A 25,596-nucleotide genomic window follows, 5' to 3' on the forward strand; every position below is an offset into this window, starting at 1 on the left:
TTCCACAGTCCCTCTTCTTTCTCCACCCCCCATTACAGAAACAGAGAAGTTAACACACACAAACTATGGTTCTTTTCTTCTGTCCCTAATTTTCATTCCATGAGTGGGCCTTGTATGAACCAAAGTAGAATGCTCAGATGACTTTAGCAATAGCTTCTTTTAAAATCTACTGCCACGATAGAATTTGGAGTGGCAATATCTGTTTAAATCAGAAATGATTTCCTAAAGGGTGCAGTATTCTTTCAAAGTTAAGTTATTTTAACCAACAATTAAAAAGAAACTAACATACAGCCACAAATGGGCTCTTCCTGGTGTTCAATATCAGTTTCAAGTTGGAAGAAACAACTTATTAAAATTCATCATCTTGCATTGTTAATCGAGATGTGGCTAATAACTGGTTGAGAATACTGGTAAGAATGTCTTCTTTGGGCCCTCAAAATGAATCTCTGCTTCTTGGCTACCTTGACTATAAAATGGGAGATAATATCCTGTTCCCAGGGTTGTGAGCAGGATTAAATATAATGAGATGTGAAAAACCGTGTAAGATTGTAAAGTACTATATGAGTATAAGCAGTTATTCTTGTTGCTGTTATTGTTTCTGGTCGAGGTGGGATAGTGGTAGTAGTTTTGTAGGTTGCAGTAATGGTGGTCCTATTAATACCTTGTCCTTCTTAAGTCAGGGTACGGCACACTGGACTGGCTGAAGGCCTAAAGGCAATGTCAGAGCAGAGCAAAGAAATAAAAAAAAGTGAGTGGGAGAGAAAACAATGTGTCTGAGGCAGAGTGAGAGAATTGGAAAAAAATCAACAAAAGGGATAAGAAGATATCATTTCTACAACAAATAGAGCAATCCTAATTTATTCAAAGTGGAAAAGAGACTATTAAGGAACACTTACAAGGAAAAAGGTGCCTAAGTGTGATGTTTCACACAACATTCACAACTATCCCACGAGGTACATTTTATTAGAACCATTTTGCAGGTGAGGAAACTGATAACCAGAGAGGTCAAAATCATCATGCAACTGTCTATTAGAAGCCAAGATAAGAAAATGGAAAATAGAAATCCATTGAAGAAGAAAGTAAAACAAGTGGGAGCTGGGGTACAGAGGGAAAGCATGTGTTGTCTGAAGGCTCCTGAATTCATTTCCCCTTCTCCATACTGTACTAGCCTAACAAGGATGCAAGTATAGGACAAATTTGATACCCTCTGTCTATATATGATAGCTTTTACAATTGGACAAGGATATCTGCAGATTCTGATGGATGTTTAGAGGGGTTGGTTCTGCCCAAGAAGAAGCTAAGTACAATTTCATGTTTGGTACAGGAATCTCTGGCTGCACTTTAGTGCGTATACTATAGGCATCTCTCTTTAAATATATAAACACACAGATTCAAACTGCTAGAAATGCCATACAGATTGCAGAAATCCAGAAAGTAGGCACATAGTGTATACAAAAAAAAAGCACAATATAGAAAAATAATAAACTAAATTCATCTAGGGCTTCCTTTATGGCAGGCATTGTAATAAGTGATTTATATGCAATGATTCATTCACCCCACACAACAATCCTATGAGGTTGTGCTTATATTTTGCTATTTTACAGAAGACAAATGTTAGGCACTTGGGAATTACATTATCTATCTAAGATCACACAGCAATTAAGTGGAGGAGCTGGAAGCTGAATCCAATGACCATGTACTTAATCAAAATAGAGATTGCATTGCTCTCATGTGATAAGGAATATATTGTTTCATTTTAATATTTAATATGTTCAACAAAACAGATTATTTCGATTCAAAATAATAAAACAATCGCTTGGCAAGTAAGAGGTATGAAAAGGATAGGAAAACTATTAAAACATTTTGAGATTATGAATAAAATTAGAATACTGACTAGGTACTAGATGATATTAAAGGATTTTAGTTATTTTTGGTAAGTGTTTTAATAATATTATTGTTATGTAAAAATACATCTTTTTAAAAGAAATTAACCGAGAAGTGTTTAGGAGTAACACGTCATGATATATTGGATTTGCTTTGAAATAGTTTATGAGGAAGAAAAAAAGCAAGGAAGGGAAAGCATGAAAGAGGAGAAAAGAGAGAAAGAGAGAAAGCATAAAAACAAGATGGGAAAATGCTGATGGTCATCGAGTCTGGGAGATGGATATATGTTGGTTTGTTGTGCTATTTCCTTTACTTGGTATATAGTTAAACTTTTTTCATAATGAAAATTCAAAAAAAGAAACAGTTCACTTAAGTTCCCAGAAGCCCAATGGCAATGCCAACATCCATATGTGACAAATGAATGTGGTAAGTGCAAAGGAACGGTAATAGCACTGAGCAATTTATGTGGACGTGTCATTTCAACCCACAAAATTGCCCTGTTTACTTTTTATGTGTTAGTGCTTTCTGGGAAAAAAAATGTAGAAAGGAAATAATATCTTGAAGTCTGTTTGTTTACTAGGAATAGCACTTGTGTAATTGTTTTAATGTGTTGTAGCTCAACATTTATTTTTAGCATTCTTTGCTTTATTGGCTAATTCAAAACATAAACACTTCCTGGCTTGAGCAAAATCAGCATGTCACTTCCAGACCAGAGGAAAGTCATAATCGCTTGTATTGCTCATTTGAACTTTGTGAGAAGACACATTTTCCATTTCAAGTAGGAGGCAAATATATTTGCAAAGATTTCCCCATTTAATTGCAGTCCAAACTTAAAAAAAATCTTTTCCCCCAATACACTCATAGATCAAGTTTTATGAGAAAGAGGTAAATGAAAACCAGACAGTTGATAAAAGCTCTTTCTGTTTTGAGTAGTGAATTTCTAGCTATATCACATAGATTAATCAATATTTTGGCCAATCCTTTTTATTTTCTATGCCTGTAAATGTTTGTCTTTCAATGTTGGATCCAGTGATTTCTAAAATACTTTTAGAAGATTAAAATAAGTTGTATCTACGGGTCCATGATCTCTTCTCTGAAATCCTTGCAGTCAGGTGTTTCTTGGAATTGTGAATATTTCAGGTTTTAGGACAGTACTACTTTGCATATAGTCTATAACAGTAGTTTCCAACTTTTGGCACCAGGAAATGGTTTTGTGGAAGACAATTTTTCCACGGACATTGGGCTGTTGGGTGGGGTGGGGGTGGGGCAGGGGGGATGGTTTTGGGATGAAACTGTTCCACCTCAGATCATCAGGCATTAGATTCTCTTAGGAGAGCACAACCTAGTTCCCTCACATGCGTAGTTCACAATACAGTTCCCACTCCTATGAAAATCTAATGCGGCTGCTGATCTGACAGGAGGCAGAGCTCAGGAGGTAAAGCTCACTCACCTGCTGCTCACCTCCTGCTGTGCGGTGCGGCCTGGTTCCTAACAGCCCACAGACCATAGCGGTCTGTGGCCTGGGGGTTGGGGTCCCCTGTTCTATACCACATAATGTCCTCAGTGGCATGTAGGAGAGCAACATGTAGTCAAATGCATCTTATTTATACACTAAAAGTATAAATATCCCCACTAAGTGAGATCATTAAAGATTCTAAGGAGCCTCACATCAGTTTAGATCAGACTTGGCTACCTGGTGAAAGTTTTTCCATGCCTGAAGAAGGACTTTGGGTTTGTAGTACCATGGAGGTTTCAGGATTGCAGAGGGGGACTGTGGAACCGAATGCTTGGGTAAGAGCATCAGCTGGAGGGTCCGACAGACCCACATCAAAATCTCACCCGTGACTCTTACTAGTTGTGTGACTCTCTAGACCTCATTTTCCTCACTTATGAAATGGAAAAATACCTTTTAAATAGGATTGTTGTGAAGATAATTTTCACAAAGCACTTAGCTAGATGCCTGGCTCAGTATGAGAAGTCAAAAAGCAGAAGCTGTTACAATATTATTAGTTTTATTAAAGGTAAAAAACGTGAAAAAAGTATTTGTATTCTTTTACGCTGGCCTCAAGGTCTTTTTATCTCTGTGTTATTTGCTGGGTGGGGTGTGCATCTGAATTTAAGCTATTAGAGAAATTAAGCTCTAGGATGATGATCGTGGACCTGTTTTCTGTGCGGGAAATGTGTGAGAGGGGAGAAGAAAAGACACACACACAATACCTTTAAGGGTAAACAACCTTTATCCCAGGTAAATGGCAATGCAGATATAATAAGCAAATGATATAATAAGCAAATAATATAGTAAGCAAATTGATATAATAAGCAAATTGATATAATAAGCAAATTGCATTGGGAAGGGGAGAAGGTGAGTGTAAATATATATATTTACTCACTCACCAGACTAAGGAGGATTCATGACCAGACTGGGAAGCATCGGCCTGGGCTCCAGTGTCGGCCACTCGTCCGTGAACAGATAAGGAGAGGTCTCATGAAGCTTCGGCGTGGTCTGGACCCCTAGCTCTTTTCGTAATGAGTTGTTTGGCATGAGGCCCAGTCATGAGAGCCCTTCATGACTGGTCTTCAGCAACACAAAAAGGTCAACTTGTTTTTGCGATTGCCTGTTGTTTTTCAATAACTAACATATAGGAATATATTGAAATAGAGATTTCTCTGAAACAGTGCTGGATGAATGCCTCAAGGAGCTCACACAACCTGTTCTGGGAATTGGTGACCATTGTTTTTGTCCACGTTCAACTGAGTTCAAATTTAATATTTAATTTTTCCTCCACAACCTCTGACTCTGATGAGTTTTGCCCAAACTAAGTTTAACATCAACTAGGTGATATTCTGGGGCCACAAAGCCTCTGGTTGGGTTGAACATGAGAGATTCTGTAACTTGTTCTCACCGCCATCCCCAACCCCTGCAAATGAAGCAGAGTCTATTCATTAAAAATCATGCTAATGATAGTGCATGCTCATTGTATCAAAACGTGAGAGAGTCTCCTGCTGCATTTTCTCCCATCCCCAATTTCAGTTGTCAAAGACAATCTTTCACATTTTTTCCTACTTTTGTTTCTTCTGCTGGTAATTTCCATATCTCTAGATAATTTGCCTTTATTTCTGACTCCTCAGTATGAAAAACAAGAATTAAATAATTATACTTCTTTTCCTTTCTCTCATATCTTTCCTCTAAAGTATCATCATTTTGAGTTCTTCTGTTGCTTTTATAATTCTGAAAATAATATATATAAATCTTTATTATTTGTCCAATAACTTCTTGTTATAAGATGAAAATAGTAGCTCTTATGTATTTCCCTTACCTTTTCCTGTTCCCTATCATACCTTCATTGAATACTTTTTAAACTTTTATATGGAGATACTGTTAACATTAATACTATGTGCTACATCTATAAGATTTCTGTACTTTGCAGTTTAGTGTAAAACTTGAAAACCAATAAACAGAGCTTACATTACTCTGACTACATAAGAAGGTTCACTTCTGGGCCAAGTAAGCGTCCATTGCCACAATCTGAGGGCCACTAACAGGAGAATGTGGTGAGCTTCAAGTTTAAATGGAGTCTCTCTTGTTAACTCTACCCTTTCTTAAAATCGTGCCATGTTTTATTTGCTTCATATTTGGCCTATGATAATCTTGTATGGTATTTGTTTATTTGTGTTTCCTAAAGATTTTAATTGCCTTTATTTTCACCTTGCATTATATGCTGTTGTTCTTCCATGCTCTCAGCCATTGCATTTAGTCTAAAGAGTCTTTCTGGTCCTTAATTTAAAAATAATGTTTAAATTACGTATATAACACATGGTTACACTATATGTTTGTAAATGTCAAACATTATAGATAAGAGTAAAGCACTTTTGACCACCAGCCCAATCTGAGACCACATTCCATTCTTGTATAATTTGAAAACTTGCTAAATATACAGTTTTTCTATATTGAGTCGAAATTCTTTCCACCCCCAAAATTTGCTAATTTTCACAGCTTAATATACCATCCATTATATAAGTTAATATCTTTCTTGATGGTTTTCATATCTGATCTTCAGAGGTGCTGCCTACTAGAAATTTCACATTGGAGTTAGCTAAAGCAATCTTAAATGTAATATGGGCAAGACTGAAATCCTGATTTTCTAGCTCTAATCTTTTCCCGAAAAAACTTTCCCAACATTTCCTAATTCAATGATTAGTTGTTACTATTTACCCAATTGCCTCAGATTAAAGTTTTACCCCTTGCATCCAGTGTGTCACCAAATACTATTGATTTTATATCAGAAAAACGTCTTTAATATTCACTTTTCTCCACTATGCTTTTCAGCTTAAGCCATGTTGATATAGTATCTCAGCTGGTTTACTGCAAGAGTCCATACCAAAGAGTCTTTGCATGTGCTGTTGTCTGTGTCTGGAATGCTTTCCTTTCTATCTTTGGTTAACTCATCCTTTGACTCTTAACACAACTATTGCTTCTTTATAGAAGCCATCTCATCTCACACTCTTAAGCATATATCAGGTTTCTGCCCGCAAAAAGTATGTCTCATATTTCTGTACTCATATTTCAATTTATAATTAAATTCTGTCTTCCTTGCTGGATTTAAGCTCCATCAGAGTAGGGACTCTTCCTGAATTGGCACATATTTAACATCTGGGACTGTGACAACCAGCCCCTTAGTTTCAGTGTTTCAACCCCTTTTACATTAACAGTCTTTACTTCTATCTGTCCTATTTCCAAGCCCCTTGTGCTCACTATAATCTGACTTTACTCAGTACATTTCCACCTCCAGGAATTAATATTCCGAAATTCCCTTCTGAAACCATTACCTATGCATTGCCTTTTTCATTTCTCCTGGAATGTTTTCTCTGTGTTCAATACGATATCCTGTTGCAAAAGTAGTTTGGTTTTTCTAGTTATTTCATCTTTTAGCGAGTGTCACTTGCCTCTCTATCCAGTGTGGATTCCAGAACTTATCCTATCAGCATTATTCTTTCTTAAAAGTTAGCTTTCTATATCTTTTTGCAATTTCTTATCCCACGTTTTGCCAACCCGCAAAATGGGTAAATAAGTTATTTCAGAACGTGGGAACACATAGGTGAAATGGATACATTTCTTAAAAAATAACTTAGTTTTAAACATTAAAGAAATAGGATCATTATTTAAAAGATCTTCCTACAAAGAAAACATCATGTTCAGACATTTTTTACCCAATGAATTCTGCCAAACATTCAAGAAACAGAACTACAATCTTACACGAAATCTTTCAGAGAACCAAATGAGTCAGAATAATGACTAACTTATTTAATGCAGCTAATATAACCTTGACACAAAACCCAGACAAGGATGATATAAGAAAATTTACAGACCAATATAACTTATAAATATTGCTGCAAATATATCAAACAAAATACTAGCAATCCAAGTTAAATAATGTATAAGAATGAAAAAATCATGACCAAATTATTTTTTTTCCCAGAAATACTACTGTGGCTCAAAAATGTGAAAATCTGTTAGTATAAATTTTCTCTTTAATGAGTTTAAATAGAAAAAACCATATGTTCACTTTGGATGCATAAAAGAGATTTGATAAAATTTAATGCACATTTATTACCAAAAATACCTCTAGCAACTAGAAAAAGAAGATGTGGCAGGGTCTGCTGTTTTTCTCTTATATCTTTTTATTCTTTCTCTTTGTAATAACATAACACCTTATTAGATGTTAGGCATTTAATTGCTCAAGGTAAGAACTGAGCTTCCCTTGAAGCTAGCTGTGACTATTATGAAGGCCTTTTTAATGGGACATAATTTAGAGTTATCTGTGGAATTGCAGAGTTGTACCCTTATAGGGAGGGAGCATGGCTCTCTCTTCCTCTGGTTGGAGAAGGGACCTGATGTTGAGCTATCTCAGACTCTGTGGAGGAGGAAACACCTTAGGAATGGTGGAAAAATAGAAAGAAGCTAGATTCCTGATGGCTGTATACAAAGTGACTTCCTTAATAGCTTAGACTTTAATGTGACAGAGAAATGAACTTCTGTCTATATAAGGCATTTTAAAAGTTAGATCTCTGTTACAACAGGCAAAACTTGGCTAATAATAGGTGAGAATCTCCTTAACTCAATAAAGTATATTTTAAAAGTTTCTACGAAAACATCATATTCAAAGTTAGAGTATTTTCTTTAAGATCGGTAGTGACCACTATAATCACATATACTTAACATTTAACTGAGAGCCTTAGAGCAATAGGGCAAAAACAAAAAATAAATTTTATAACAAATAGAAAGACCAAAAAAAGCTGAGTGATATGGATTAGCTCTCTACCTTTATCAGATACTCGAAACAATCTGAAGAATGTTAGAATTAATAAAAGAGTTCATTAAGTTTACTGGGTACACAAGTAATATACAAAGCATATAAGAACATATAAAGCAAATAGAGCTAGAAAATATAATTATGAAAAAGTATTTATAATTACAAAAAAGATACTTTGAGAATAAAAATTACTAAATATGAGAGCTGTATAGATAAAATAATAAAATAATAAAACTTAATTGAAAGATTAATTATTAGCTAAATAAAATGAAAGAGATTCTCATGGATAGAAAGAATACTAAATAAAAGTCAATTCTCTTCTAGTTTATATAAGCATATTTACATGTGGATATGTATATATTTATATATGTGTGTATATACACACATACATATGTATTTTTATATATATTCAATGCAATTGCAATAAAAATCCTGGTAGGATTTTCTAGTGGAACTTTAAAAGACAATTAAAAAATTACATGGAAGTGCAAAAGACCAAGAATAACAAAAACATTCTTGAAAAGCAATATTAGTAGAGTCTCCTAACTAGATATCAAACTTTTTCATATAAAGTTACAGAAAGTAGAGCACAGGGATAAAATAAGTGACCAGTGAAATAGAATAGAGAGCATAGAAACAATCACAGATATAGCTGAAACTCTGATTTATAATGAAGGTGCGATTGTAGATTATGCAGAAAGGATGTCTACTCAGAATACAGTATGTTACTAAAACAATTCGTTTTCTCTATGGAACAAAAAGAAACACGAACATGAATCCTTACTTTATGCTACATAGTAAGACCATTCTGAAATGCATTAAGACCTTGAATGGAAAAAAAAGAACCAAAACTTTTAGAAGAACACATGAGCTAACAATTGGTTAGTGGAGTGGTCCTTAAAAAGTGAGAAAAAGCACAAACCATAAAACAAAAGATTAATAAATTTGACTATATCAACTTTAAATTTCTGTTCATCGAAAGAGACCATAATGAGACTAAAAAGAGAGATTCCAACCTGGTAGAAAATATTTGAAACAGGTATTACTAATAAAAAATTCGTATACCAAATACATAAAATGGCTACAAATTTATTGAATAAATGCAACTGCCCAAAAAGGGCAAAATAAACATTAATTGGGTTTGAACAAAAAAGAGGAAACAGGATTGAACAAAAAATGGAAAGAAGAAATTAGGATTGAACAAAAGAGGCCATCTTGAACGGCCAAAACAAGAGAAAATATATTAAACAAATGTGTATCCAAGAGAATGCAAACTAAAAGTGCACTAGATTGGATAATGCTAAGTATTGGAGAAGCTGTGGTCAAATGGTAAGATTATTAATTTGGTGAACCAGTTTGGTTAAAAACAGAAAAATTCACAATAAAGTTGAATGTCCACATACCTTATGACAAAGTCATTCCACTCTTGTGTATGTTGTAAGAGAAATTCTTGCACATGTGCCAGGGACTTGCATAATATCATGAATATCAGCATTTTCCCAATACCAGAAAATAGAGAACAACTCAAGTATTCACTAACCGGAGAATGGATAAATCAATTTTAGTGCCTCAATTGAAAGGAATACTATGTATCAGTAAAAATAAATGAGTTATTACTTTAAGAATCAACCTGAATGAATGCAAAATCATTACTGTATTAAAAGAAATTTTCAGAAGAATATGTGATTATGATTCTGCCTATATAAACTTTCAAATTAGGTAAAACAAATAAAATTGTCATTTAGAGATATGTGTATGGATGCATGGCAAAGGTAGAAAGAAAAGCAAGGCACTGATTAACTCATGATTCAGTTATTGGTTATGTTTGGTGAATGGAAGTGCACGTGCTCAAGGAGGTGCATAGAGGGATTCAAAGACATTAGTCATGCTGTAATTTTTAGGCTTAGAAGCTTTTACAGTGTGTTTGCTTTTAACTATTCACATACGTTAAATACACTCCTCTGAATGATGTGTTACACAATTAAAAAGTAGAGGTTAAAGAAGACTATCTCTTCATTGCTTTTACTCCTTGTCCCTCCAATTCATTTCGCAAAGCATCACATTCTGGCTCATGATTCCCACTATTTTCCTGAAACTGTTGCCTCTGGGATCACCAATAACTTTCTAATTAGTAGATGCAAATATATCTCACTTGAATAAGAAATCACCCTTTCTTGCAACATTCTCTTCTATTAGTATCTCTGGAAAGCCACTCTCCCATTTCTTCTCTGCATTTAAAGAAAAAAGAAGTAAAAAGTCACTTCTGAAGGTTAAATTAACTTTAAGCCATAAAAAAATTATTTGCCATATTTTGCAAATTGTATTTGAGTAGCAAATATTTATTAAGCACACACTATATACAGAGCATGGAAAATTCAGAAAACAATCTCCATTCTCAACTCTGTTCTTTGGCCCATCATGTATGGTATTATTATGTTGTTGCATTGCTATAGAGAAATACCTGAGACTGGATAATTTATAAAGAAAAGAAGTTTAATTGGCTCATGGTTCTGCAGGCTTTACAGGAAGCATGGTGCTGGCATCTGCTGGGCTTTTGGTCAAGCCTGAGGGCATTTTCAATCATGGTGGAAGGTGAAGAGGAAACAGGTACATCGCATGGTGTGAGCAGGAGCCAGAAAGAGAGCACACATGAGAGAGAGAGAGAGAGAGAGAGAGAGAGAGAGAGACAGACAGACAGTGGGAAGGTGCCACACACTTTTCAATGACCACATCTCTCAAGAACTCACTTGCTATAGTGAAGACCGCACCAAGACATTAGGTATATGCTCCCATGATCCAAACACCTCCCACCAGGCCCCACCTCCAGCATTGAGGATTACAATTCAACATGATATTTGGCCAGAGACAAATATCCAAAGTATATCAGGTATTATTTAGCAAAAATTAATAGTTAGTAGTCATATTATAAAGGCAATTGAATGTGATATAGGAGTTAAAGAGAAACTACTAGGGCAGATAATAAGGGTATGGGAGTCCTCGGTAAGGTTTTCCTTTTTAATGAAAAGAAGCCCCCAAATCATTTTCTAACAAAGAACAGCCTGTAAAATTGAGCTGCAGACATAGACAAACAAGTTGGAAGCCTGCACCCATGAATGCTGGCAGAAAAAAGCTACCTGGTACTAGACATGTTCACAATGGCTTCCTTCCCTTGGTCAGCTATGTGTAAGGTAAGAGCAGACAAGATGGTGAAAAGGCCACTTGCATAATAAGATTAGGGCAGGGTGACCAGCCTTTCCCGAACGCTATGTAAAACACCACATCACACCTGGTTGAACCAATCTGTGGGCTCTACATAAATCAGAAACCGCCTCCTCAAGCCTGCCTATAAAATCTGCTGTGGTCCCCCCAGGCCACCTTTTCCCTTTTGGATGCCTCGCTCTCACAAGAGAGAAAGTGCTGCTCTCCTCTCTCTTTTCTTCTACCTATTTAATTTTTGCTCCTTAACCCACTCCATGAATGTGTGTCCATATCCTTAATCTCAGTGCGCGAGACAATGAACCCCAGGTATTTACCCCAGACAACAATGCCACTTCAAATGTATCAGTTTTAATGTGAAAATTACTATTGTGTTTGCATAATACAGTTTTGAGTTTCAAATTAGCAAACATTCAAAATTAGAGTTTTCCCTAAATGGGTAAACACCTGATCTCTTTTCTGAGGCCTACTAGATTTATATTTTGGTTTTTATAAATATGTATGGGAAGTTTATATTAAAGATTTTGTAATTGTCGATCCTTTCATTTAATTAAACATTTGAAAGGGTGCATTTTTTCCACATTCATAAGTGTTCATACGGATTTCCTCAAATTTTCCAGAGAAGAAAAAATAACTATATTTGAATGGAGCTAGAACATGGAATGGAAAGTTTCAGTTCAAAAGGCATTTTTTTCCATCAAGTTATGAACATTTGAACATGGAATTATAATTGAAACCATTTTGTATACTTCACCATCAAATTCATTCTGAAAATAATGTTTTACTATTTTAAGCAACAGATATAGAAAACTCCCACTGGTCCACAGAATTTATTAAATGTCTGCAATGGCACCACTGCATTAACCATGCTGGAGTGGTCAATGAAGTCAATGGCATGATATTAAGGATATTAGATATGTGTAGAAGAACTAAATAAAACCTGTAGATAAATTTATGTTTTATAATGAACCAAAAATTTTTGAGATGGTTTAATGCAACACAATTAAGTTTAGCTAGTGCTAGCTTCTAGAGCTGGTAGATTAAAACAAAACTTGCATTTAGCTTCCTATGCTTTTTCTTTTTTATTGTTCACTTTCCAATGATGATTTAAATGAGCACTGAGCAGATCAAAACCAAATATCTGAAGAGCATGTAAGGGAGAAGAACCTACAGATAATTCATTTAACCCAAATCAGCCCAATTTACAGTGAACATAAACTAGAAGAGCTTTGAGACACTGATTTTGTGAAGTCCCTGTGCCCAGTGCTACTCTCTCTGTTTCAAGTTTAGGAAAAAAGTGGTTTACATTTGTCATGCCTACATGCTTTCTTCTTACTGACTTCTCAAACTGCTGCACTAAAATTGTTCTTGAAAAGATTACTCCTAAATTCATTTTGAGTTTTCAGTTAACTTGAGTTACCTGTAGTATTTGCATTATTGATCACTCTATGAAATTCTCTCTGCCTCTGGCTTCTTCTGATTTCCTTTTTAACTTCTAAGACAAATCCTTCTCAGCTTCTTTCCCTCATTTCATTTTGCCTTTCCCTCCATTCCCACAATTTCCCATTTTGTTCTTTTCCTACCTGTCCCACAAATGATGGCATCCCAGGGCTCCCTCCTTAGCTCCCTTATAGTTCCACGATTTACATTCTTCATGATAATCATCTACTTTTTTGTTTTAAATACGAGCGGTGGTTCTCTGCTCCTCCTTTTTTTTTTTTTTTTTTTTTTTTTTAAATTTATTTTTTTATTGATAATTTTTGGGTGTTTCTCACAGAGGGGGATTTGGCAGGGTCATGGGACAATAGTGGAGGGAAGGTCAGCAGATAAACAAGTGAACAAAGGTCTCTGGTTTTCCTAGGCAGAGGACCCTGCGGCCTTCCGCAGTGTTTGTGTCCCTGATTACTTGAGATTAGGGATTGGTGATGACTCTTAACGAGCATGCTGCCTTCAAGCATCTGTTTAACAAAGCACATCTTGCACCGCCCTTAATCCATTTAACCCTGAGTGGACACAGCACATGTTTCAGAGAGCACAGGGTTGGGGGTAAGGTCACAGATCAACAGGATCCCAAGGCAGAGGAATTTTTCTTAGTGCAGAACAAAATGAAAAGTCTCCCATGTCTACTTCTTTCTACACAGACAGGGCAACCATCCGATTTCTCAATCTTTTCCCCACCTTTCCCGCCTTTCTATTCCACAAAGCCGCCATTGTCATCATGGCCCGTTCTCAATGAGCTGTTGGGCACACCTCCCAGACGGGGTGGTGGCCGGGCAGAGGGGCTCCTCACTTCCCAGTAGGGGCGGCCGGGCAGAGGCGCCCCTCACCTCCCGGACGGGGAGGCTGGCCGGGCAGGGGGGCTGACCCCCCCCACCTCCCTCCCGGACGGGGCGGCTGGCCGGGCGGGGGGCCGACACCCCCACCTCCCTCCCGGACGGGGCGGCTGGCCGGGCGGGGGGCCGACCCCCCCACCTCCCTCCCGGACGGGGCGGCTGGCCGGGCAGAGGGGCTCCTCACTTCCCAGTAGGGGCGGCCGGGCAGAGGCGCCCCTCACCTCCCGGACGGGGCGGCTGGCCGGGCAGAGGGGCTCCTCACTTCCCAGTAGGGGCGGCCGGGCAGAGGCGCCCCTCACCTCCCAGATGGGGCGGCTGGCCGGGCGGAGGGCTGACCCCCCCACCTCCCTCCCGGACGGGGCGGCTGGCCGGGTGGGGGGGCTGACCCCCCCATCTCCCTCCAGGACGGGGTGGCTGGCCGGGCTGAGGGGCTCCTCACTTCCCAGTAGGGGCGGCCGGGCAGAGGCGCCCCTCACCTCCCGGACGGGGCGGCTGGCCGGGCGGGGGGCTGACCCCCCCACCTCCCTCCCGGACGGCACGGCTGGCCAGGTGGGGGGCTGACCCCCCCACCTCCCTCCCGGACGGCACGGCTGGCCAGGCGGGGGGCTGACCCCCCCACCTCCCTCCCAGATGGGGCAGCTGGCCGGGCGGGGGGCTGACCCCCCCCCACCTCCCTCCCGGACGGGGTGGCTGCCGGGCGGAGACGCTCCTCACTTCCCAGATGGGGTGGCTGCCGGGCGGAGAGGCTCCTCACTTCTCAGACGGGGCAGCTGCCGGGCGGAGGGGCTCCTCACTTCTCAGACGGGGTGGTTGCCAGGCAGAGGGTCTCCTCACTTCTCAGACGGGGCGGCCGGGCAGAGACGCTCCTCACCTCCCAGACGGGGTCTCGGCAGGGCAGAGGCGCTCCTCACATCCCAGATGGGGCGGCGGGGCAGAGGCGCTCCCCACATCTCAGACAATGGGCGGGCGGGCAGAGACGCTCCTCACTTCCTAGATGTGATGGCGGCTGGGAAGAGGCGCTCCTCACTTCCTAGATGGGATGGCGGCCGGGCGGAGACGCTCCTCACTTTCCAGACTGGGCAGCCAGGCAGAGGGGCTCCTCACATCCCAGACGATGGGCGGCCAGGCAGAGACACTCCTCACTTCCCAGACGGGGTGGCGGCCGGGCAGAGGCTGCAATCTCGGCACTTTGGGAGGCCAAGGCAGGCGGCTGCTCCTTGCCCTTGGGCCCCGCGGGGCCCGTCCGCTCCTCCAGCCGCTGCCTCCCGGGCGGTGCTCGCCGGCGCGGCGGCAAAGACTGAGACAGCTCCGCTGCCCGCTGAACTCCATCCTCCCGGTGGTCGGGCGGCGGCGGCTGCGGTCGGGCGGCGGCGGCTGCAGTCGGTCGCGGCAGCGGCTCCGCTTCATATCTGCAGCTGGGGCCCGCGGGCGTCAGCGCCGCGACTGTCCCGGCTCCGCACCTCTCTGCTCCTCCTATTCGACAGACAGCCACATCTTCTTGTGCAGTGCCAGCCGCATCCCTAAGACACCATGGTTAAAGTGAAGGATGGAGTAAATGGTTTTGGCCGTATTGGGCACCTGGTCACCAGGGCTGCTTTTAATTCTGTCAAAGTAGATATTGTCACCCTCAATGATTCCTTCATTGACCTCAGCTACATGGTCTACATGTTCCAGTATGATTTCATCCATGGCAAGTTCCATGGCACTATCAAGGCTAAGAACAGGAAGTTTGTCATCAATGGAAATCCCATCATTATCTTCCAGGAGTAAGAGCCCATCACAATCAAATGGGATGATACTGGTGCTGATTATGTTGTGGAATCCACCAGCATTTTCACTACTGTGGAGAAAGATGGGGCTCATGGGGTGGGAAGTCAAAAGAGTCATCATCTCTGCTCCCTTTGCTGATTCCCCCTGTTCATGATGGTCATAAAGCATGAGAATTATAAATCAGCAATGCCACCTGTACCACCAACTGAGTAGCCCCCTAGCCAAGGTCATCCAAGACAACCTTGGAAATCATGGAGGGACTCATGACCACACTCATGATCACTGTCACTTCACCCAGAAGACCATGGATGCCCCCTCTGGGAAACTGCGGTGTGATGGCCATGGGGCTCTCCAGAAATCATCCCTATATCTACGGGTGCTGCTAAGGCTGTGGGCAAGGTCATCCCTGAGCTGAACAAGAAGCTCACTGGCATGGCCTTCCATGTCCCCACTGCCAACATGTTGGTACGAGACCTGACCTGGCATCTGGAGAAACCTGCCAAATATGATGACACCAACAAGGTGGTGAAGCAGGCATCAGAGGGCCTCCTCAAGGACATCCTGGGCTATACTGAGCACCACGTTGTCTCTTACTTTAACAGTGACACCCATTCTTCCACCTTGATGCTGAGGCTGCCATTGCCCTCAATGACTACTTTGTCAAGCTCATGTCCTGGTATTACAGTGCAGTTAGCTACAGCAACAGAGTGGTGGACTTCGCAGACCACATGGCCTCTGAGGAGTCAGAACCCCAGACCATCAACACAAGCAAGAGCACGAGAGGAAGAGAGAGGCCCTCAGCTGCTAGAGAGTTCCTGCCACACTCAGTCCCCCACCACACTGAGAATCTCCCCTCCTCACAGTTTCCATGCAGACCCCCTGAAGAGGGAGGGGCCCAGGTATCCCTACCTTGTCATGTGCCATCAATAAAGTCTCCTGTACTCAGCCAAAAATATTAAATAAATAATGGATAGATAAATTCATATGTACTTAAAAAAATAAATACCAGTAATATTCTGGAGACTTCCAAATAGGAATTTCCTTTCAAAGCTGTATCTCTTTAAAGCTGCATCTCTAGCTCCTTAAAAGGCATCTCCGCTTGGGTAGTGTATCAATCAGAGTCCAGTTAGGAGATAAAAACCACACCAATAATTTAGATAGGAAACTTTGAATGTACAGAATTAACTAGCAAAAGATGATTAATTACTAAAATGAGGAAAAAGAGGGCTGTAGAGGTAGAGAAATAGTAAATGCCGAAAGCTACAACCTCTAGGGCTATATAACCATGAAAAACTGAGTAACTAAGATTTTAAAAGAGATGCCCTTTCCACCTCTCTCTGAGACTGAAGTCCAGATCTCTTGGGAGAAGATGGGGCTATCAGACGAACATGCAGTGGTAGAAAACTTGCCAGAAGGCCCAAGGCTGGAGTTGGCCTGAGGGTTTCTGAGGTGAATGTCCATGGCCTTCCACATGCTGATTTACTGGCTGCCATATCCAAAGAAAAGCCACACTGAAATAGGAAGGGAGGGCCCTTCTGCTGTTATGGCCTTACAGTATCCCTCCAGGGCTCTCTGTTGACAAAACCCAACATTGAGCCAGCTAGCAAAGGAGAAATGTTTACAGGGTCTGGCCAGTATCTCAGAGCAAGAAGCGTGGATTTAGGGGCTCAGATGTGATAAACTGAGAACTGGCACAAGTGGTCCACTTATACCTCCAATTCAACTTGCTAAAAATGAGCAAGTTGAGCAACTCATTTTCCTCTGGTTCTTCTCTTACTCAACGGTATCACCATCTCCCTAGCTGCACCAACTGGAAATCTGTAAGGCATCCTAGATACTTCACTTTTGCTCAGATACATATGGTCAGTCACCAGCAGAGCCCGGCTACGAAAAGTGTGCAGAGTCATGACAGAGGCATTGTCATTCCAGCTGGCTGTGGAGTTACTTAAGAGTTGACTTGATTCCACGCAAACAGTGTCTCCCAAGGGCAGTCCCTATAGGTCCAGGACCCTTGTCTCTGTGGTGGAAATTGAGCTGTTACTCATGATTCTCTCCTTTTGCTCTGCAGTTTGGAGCCTTGGGAAAATCTCTCATATGTTTTCTTCCTTGGAACTCTTTAGAAGTGGCCAGTCAGACCTGATGATGAGAGATATGTATTTTTTTTTCTTTGCCGCTTCTGTTTTGTGTAACCCAGGCAAAAATTATGTGAATGCAACAACACAGGGATATAGTCAGTATTACAGAAGCCTATTTATGTCTTATTTATAGCTTATTTTAAAACCAGTGGTTTTTACCACTAAAATATAATCTTTTTAGTAATCTGTAATAGGAACAGTTTTTGCTTTGAAATATACTTGTGATACAAAATGTATACAGAAAAAAACATCGTTTTAATTTAACTATTTGATGTATTCCTCATCCAAATTTCATAAGAATTATTTTAAATGTTCTGTAAATATTTCTGATTTCTTCTAGAGCATGTATCTTCAATATATGTATATTAATATACAGATGATATACATATGCTTCTCTAATCATGCATTGAGTATATATAGAAACATATACAAATGTAGTGGTAGACTGATTACGTTAAAATTAATATAAAGAAATTCTAGTATTTAGTTCTGCCCTGATGGACTGTCTTGTGTGTGTCACTTAAGGTTTACGTATCCAGCATTGGTGACAATTCTGTTCATCTTTGTATGAAAAGGGCAAACAGGAAATCAGATTTCTGTGTGTTCTCTGAGGAAGTACCATAGTTTCAAAACAGTGACTAGTTTGTGTCCTGTGCAGGTTCTTATTTAATAAGAATATGCCTTCTAGCCTTGCACTCACCTTACCATACACCTCTCTGATGGGTTTCTACTTCAGTCAGGGGGCAGAATGGTAGAATGGAGAGAATTGCTGAAGTTTTGTAGTATTGCAATTGCAGCTCTGTCATTAACTGATTTTGTGCCCTTGTGACTTTGTACAAGTTACCTGATCTCTTTTAGACTTATTTTTCTGGAAATAGAAGGGTTTCAAGCCAGTAGGATCAGGCTTGGGAGCCTGTAAAGCACATCATTTTTCTGACCCATGTGTAAAGTACTGTCAGATTTATTATAAGCTGGTGCACTTAAGAGGTATCAGGAACTCCTTGATTGGTTCTGTAGTATTGAACTTTGAGACTTACCAGAAGATAGAACTGAAGCTATCAGAAAGTGGAGTTTCTGCATAAGGCACCATATCAATGCCAGATTATCACCAACAATATTCCAGAAAGGTGGTCATCTAATTTCCACCTCTTGGGATGGAAAATTCACTCCTTTTTAAACAGATTATCTCCAGTAAGAAAAGTTTTAAATAAAACTATGTATTTAATACCCCAAAACCAAAAAATTATATACAAATGTGTAATAAAATAATTTACCTTTATATATATATATGGTGACCCTTAGAAAATCTGAAGGCAACTATCATACTCCCCTTGGTCTCTTACCTTTAACAGAAACATGTTCAATTCTTTAAATAAATTTTCACATGCAGTGACTTCCAGCTCCCTTGCTTACTGATTTGTTATTCTCTGAATATTCTGGAATTAGTTCTGGAATTAGTTTGAAGGTTACTAGTTCCTGAAAAGTGGCCCCAGAGCTGGTTTTCTGAGCAGGCCCCAGCTCCTGCTGAGCACTGCCTCATTTTGGGGGGCAGCTCATTCCTACTCCCTCTTACCTACTCACTCCAAGAGGTCTTTTCAAAAGCAGGCAAAGCTTCAAGCCTTTTGGATCAAACTCCATTCTTCATTTGTTTCTAGATAGCTGGCTGAAAGACTGAAAGCTGACCAGGGCAGGTGTTTTTGGATTTTACTTCCACTGTGTCTTTCTGCTTGACCTGGATCTTTGAACGCTAAATTTTGTTAGGTTTTTTGAATACTAAAACTCATTTGTGACATCCAGTTTTCCCTGATATACTGGATTCTGACCTCATTTTTGCCCACAGGACTCCCAGTGCTATTCTTTCTGCCTGCCAGCATCCCAGGCCTAATTTCTCCAGAATTTCTTATCTTATGGTTATCTTGAGTCTGACATAAAAGTCTCTTCTTCCTCTCAATTCCTCCAGCTCTGAATGTCTGCACAATTCATTTCACATTTATCAAATGTAGGCTTGGGTCATCAGCTACCCTTAAAAGCACATGTCTGGTCTGCCCAGTTGGATTAATCATATTCTGTAGTTGGAACTAGGGTTTTTGACATTTTGATAGTCAATACAATGCTTAATGTAAATCCTTGAACAAATTAAATTCTTAATAATGCTTAATAAGTAATTGTTAAGCTAAAGCGATGGCCAAACATGACTTCTCCTTTAACGTACTTTGGAAAATGATTAGGTTTTTGGACCAGTCATTAGATTTGTACCTTGAAGAATTTGTTTATTTCCTCTTCTCTGACTTTTAAAATTGTGTCACATACTGGGTATTCCTTTCAGGTTTGGTTGCCAGGAAAGTTATAATGAAGTTCACCTACTATGTTGGCTCCATGCTTCCCTTACTGTTTTCAATTCTAACTTCCAGTTTGTATTTCTATTATATTAATTGTATGTTATGCCTTTCTCTCATTTTTTAGTAAGATATTTTAAAATCCTTTCTGAGAAGGAAGGTTATTACAAATACATTTGTACAAGGCTCTTACTAATAGAAATAAAACTTTTTTAAACTTCTTTTTTGCATTTTGACATTTAGGAAGTAAAAAAAGAACCAATCTGAAGAAGATATAAGAGGCAGAGTAAGTCTAGATCCCTACCCATTGAAGAAATATTTATCATTTTGCAAACAAGCTGATTGTAATTTTTTCTGAAATGTAATGTAAGATGAATTAAATAATTGGAACTTCAGATGGAAAAGAGACTGAAAGATTCATATGCTTCAAATAGTACTACTAAGTTACTTAGAACAGAGCCATCTGGACAGAATCCATGTTGATATGTGAAAGAAAGGTAAGTAATTTCCTTGAGATATACCTCCATGAAATATCTTCCAAAATAGACACAATATGAGTTTGGGTTATAATAAGAAATACTGAACTTAAATCAATGTTTAACAACTCTAAGGGACATGGAGTAACTATAAAGCAATAAGAAGTTTTGTGTGTTGTTCATTTTTACTATTTTTGAGTCCTATTCCATATTACCCTAATGTCGTGACAAGGTGAAAATGGCACGTTTCCTATAATCAGTGCTAGATATTAGATTGTATTCCAAATTCCATAAGAATTATTTTATACTACCTAGTTTAGTGCTTTAGTTTTATATTATTGTCTAGTTGATATCAACCGATGGTTACATACAGGAGACACAAATGCATAAGGTCTAGCAATTGATTTCAAGAGCTTACTTCCTAATAGGAGAGCATATAGACTGGAATTAATCTAATTATATCAGTTGTATTTCATCTTGCCTCTTCAAATATATGATGTGTGGCTGCAGAGAATTATGATGTCATCTTATACTTTGATACTTCCCTGTTGTGTCAGGTAGCAGTAACAACCCACATAAAAACAAGCAGGATTTTAACAAGGTGGTATGATACAACTAAACTTTTGAGATGACCCTACCGTAAATCACCGTAGTGTATAAATCCACAAAAGAGATAACAACCTTAAAGAAATTTAAAAAGAATAAAAAGGCTTTAAGTTCTAATATCAGTTGGCATATAGTTAATTCTCAAAGTGACTGGCACAGTTATCCAAACAGCTGGTGTTTCACAAGCACTTGATGTTTGATTGATTGATGTAGAACAGCAACTAAACCGTTGGAACAATGATGTGGTTTCTAGACCACATCAGTTTACAAATCAGCTCATGGGTACATTGTAGAAGTACTCTCTTTTTGCTAGGTGTCTTTTGTTGCAGGGTTGTCATCCATGAACCTTGCAATGGGCAAGGAAAAGATATTACTTTTTCTCCCCTACACTAACAATACCCTTTACACACACACATTTAATATTTTATTTGGCACAGAAGCCTTCAGAAATGAAGACCCAGTGATCCAGGGAAAACCATATTTTTATAGACAGTCATGAAGAAATGTGATGGTAAAACCAAAAGGTATTATTTAATGGTAATAACCTTGTGGTGGGGGGAGCTTAGTAAGGCCCGTTCTTTCAGATTCTTCTTGGCCTTCTGGTTATAGGTCATAACCTCTCTGGAATGAGGGTCTTGTGACCTTCTCTCAGGGGGATAGGTCAGAGAACTATTTCATGGCCTGCTTCAGGGGAGAAAGATGGGAGAAGGTCAGAGAGTGAGTTTTGGGCTTTCATTGTTTTCTCAATTTCCTTTAGCTTAAAATACTCAGTATGCCAAGGTGGTATATTTTGGGGTATTGTGTTCTGAGCCCCAACATGAGACATCAGGATGGTGGTGATGAAGGAAAAATGTACTAATGAGGATTACAACAGAGGTGGAGTCTGGATCTGGTCTAAGATAAGATTAGCAGTGTTCCCAGACTGAAAGACAATTACTTGGTGTTTGGAAGTCAGTCAAATATTAAGTAGGTAAGAAATGGTAATCTTAGGACTCCACTATCTGGGAAAGGATTGTTCATGACATTTAGAGGACTGAGAAATGGAAGATCAAAGACAATGACCAAGGTCAGACAAATGTTCACCCTCTGGGAGAAATTTTAGTCAAAAAGGTTAAATGGCCCATCAGATGGAAGTATATCAATTTCTGAGGAAACAAGGAGATCTCAAGTCAGGTTTCCAGTACTTTGGAGTCTAGTAGAGGAAATAAGACAGTATTAAAAATTATAGCCCATGATAATGTTCAAAAGAAGGATATAATCAAAGTACTGTAGACCAACAAAGACTGAATGTAAGGGAAATAATGTTAAGTAAATGGATATTATGTACTAAAAGCATGCTAGCTATTAAAAATGTGCAGGAGGAAGATACCATGTCAGTTGGAAGATTAGAAAAGGCTTTGTCATTAATGTCTTTAAAGTAGGTGATCAGAGAACGAAATCTGAAGCCAGATGATCTGGATTCTAATCTTATCATTGAAACACTGATTTTTTTTTTGACAATTGCTTAAATAGTTTAAACTTAGGATTTCTATTATGAAAACTTAGGATGGTAATAGCTATATAACCTTACAGAATGATGGTGAGAACAAAATTAGCTGAACTGTAAAGTTACTTGAAGGTGGTAAAGTCTTATAAGTTATCATTTATAACAAATAAATATAATTCCGTAGAAATAAATGCTCTATAAATTTTAGGTATTTGAAAAAAATGGAAAATTGAAAATGAATCCTGTTGCATTACTGCTGTCATGTCATAATGCTGTGACATATTTCCTTCTAATGGTAAAAGATCCATTCTACATTCCTTTATTCTTGGAAAATAGTTATCAGAATAACAATCTATTTTATAGTGAAATATTTCTTAAGTAATTTTCTTGAAATACAATTTTTGAAATACCAATTGTATTTAACTGACATTCATATTGTTGAATATGTCAAATCCAACTTGATTTAGTATAAATATTAAACAAGATTTTGGGTTCTCTTCAGAGCTAGCAAGGAATCCTTAAAAATCAGGCATAGTTGGGCCTAGGGAAAACCAAAATGTCAATAATTTGCTTTAATGAAAGATTATTTATTGGTCATATGTATAGTTTTAGATTTCTCTTACAGATTTAATCTTTGTAGCATTAATTGATAATTTTCAGGCGGGTTTTGTCATAGTGAGAATAAAGATAACATAGTCTTGGTCTCTTTCTGCTTCAGAGTTAAGCCTCCTGTACAGACTGAGGACTGAAATCTTTTTGTGGACTACTGAAAACTGGCATCCTTCTAGGTCATCTGATAAATGGGTTATCCCCAAGTATGGCTTATGCTTTCTCCAGAGTCCAAAAGAATCTACCAAATGTTGTGCTTCTCATTCTAACTGGTGTGAGATGGTATCTCATTGTGGCTTTGATTTGCATTTCTCTGACGGCCAGTGATGATGAGCATTTTTTCATATGTCTTTTGGCTGCATAAATGTCTTCTTTTGAGAAGTGTCTGTTCATATCCTTCGCCCACTTGTTGATGGGGTTGTTTTTTTCTTGTAAATTTGTTGGAGTTCATTGTAGATTCTGGATATTAGCCCTTTGTCAGATGAGTAGATTGCAAAAATTTTCTCCCATTCTGTAGGTTGCCTGTTCACTCTGATGGTAGTTACTTTTGCTGTGCAGAAGCTCTTGAGTTTAATTAGATCCCATTTGTAAATTTTGGCTTTTGTTGCCATTGCTTTTGGTGTTTCAGACATGAAGTCCTTGCCCATGCCTATGTCCTGAACGGTATTGCCTAGGTTTTCTTCTAGGGTTTTTACGGTTTTAGGTCTAACATTTAAGTCTTTAATCCACCTTGAATTAATTTTTGTATAAGGTGTAAGGAAGGGATCCAGTTTCAGCTTTCTACATATGGCTAGCCAGTTTTCCCAGCACCATTTATTAAATAGGGAATCCTTTCCGCCTTGCTTGTTTTTGTCAGGTTTGTCAAAGATCAGGTAGTTGTAGATATGCGGCATTATTTCTGAGGGCTCTGTTCTGTTCCATTGGTCTATATCTCTGTTTTGGTACCTGTACCATGCTGTTTTGGTTACTGTAGCCTTCTAGTATAGTTTGAAGTCAGGCAGCATGATGCCTCCAGCTTTGTTCTTTGGCTTAGGATTGACTTGGCAATGCGGGCTCTTTTTTGGTTCCATATGAACTTTAAAGTAGTTTTTTCCAATTCTGTGAAGAAAGTCATTGGTAGCTTGATGGGGATGGCATTGAATCTATAAATTACCTTGGGCAGTATGGCCATTTTCACCATATTGATTCTTACTCTCCATGAACATGGAATGTTCTTCCATTTGTTTGTATCCTCTTTTAGTTCATTGAGCAGTGGTTTGTAGTTCTCCTTGAAGAGGTCCTTTGCATCCCTTGTAAGTTGGATTCTTAGGTATTTTATTCTCTTTGAAGCAATTGTGAATGGGAGCTCACTCATGATTTGGCTCTCTGTTTGTCTGTTATTGGTGTATAAAAATGCTTGTGATTTTTGGACATTGATTTTGTATCCTGAGACTTTGCTGAAGTTGCCTATCAGCTTAAGGAGGAATGGCAATCGTTAAAAAATCAGGAAACAACAGGTGCTGGAGAAGATGTGGAGAAATAGGAACACTTTTACACTGTTGGTGGGACTGTAAACTAGTTCAACCATTGTGGAAGTCAGTGTGGTGATTCCTCAGGGACCTAGAACTAGAAATACCATTTGACCCAGCCATCCCATTACTGGGTATATACCCAAAGGATTATAAAACATGCTGCTATAAAGACACATGCACACGTATGTTTATTGTGGCACTATTCACAATAGCAAAGACTTGGAACCAACCCAAATGTCCAGCAATGATAGACTGGATTAAGAAAATGTGGCACATATACACCATGGAATACTATGCAGCCATAAAAAAGGATGAGTTCATGTCCTTTGTAAGGACATGGACGAAGCTGGAAACCATTCTCAGCAAAGTATTGCAAGGACAAAAAACCAAACACCGCATGCTCTCACTCTTAGGTGGGAATTGAACAATGAGAACACAGTGACCAAGGAAGGGGAACATCACACACCGGGGACTGTTGTGTGGTGGGGGGAGCGGGAGGGGGAGGGATAGCATTAGGAGATATACCTAATGCTAAATGACGAGTTAATGGGTGCAGCACACCAACATGGCACAAGTATACATATGTAACAAACCTGCACGTTGTGCACATGTACCCTAAAACTTAAAGTATAATAAAAAATAAATAAATAAAGTACAGCTGTAGCCTGATAAGATTTAAAAAAAAGTTGTGCTTATCTTTTTGTCTTTTTTTGAGGAGTTATTCTGGCATGCCTCAAATCATTGTATCCCTAGAAATTTCACAGAAGTGTCAGGCCCCTGAACCTTGTGGGATTTTACTCCAATTGTTTCATATGTATGTGTCTTATTAGGTGCATTATGGGTGCTTGTCAATTTCTGGACTTCTCACCAGGTGCACATAAGTGTGCAGTCATTAATATAGTAGACTGGTATGAGGTCAAAAT

General features: G+C 39.1%; 1 pseudogene; it reads left to right on the forward strand.

Annotated features, from left to right (window-relative positions):
* On the forward strand, positions 15,205–16,463 carry GAPDHP24 (glyceraldehyde 3 phosphate dehydrogenase pseudogene 24; annotated as a pseudogene).

Source organism: Homo sapiens, chromosome 1 (assembly GCF_000001405.40).
Source record: "Homo sapiens chromosome 1, GRCh38.p14 Primary Assembly".
Lineage (NCBI taxonomy): Eukaryota > Metazoa > Chordata > Mammalia > Primates > Hominidae > Homo > Homo sapiens.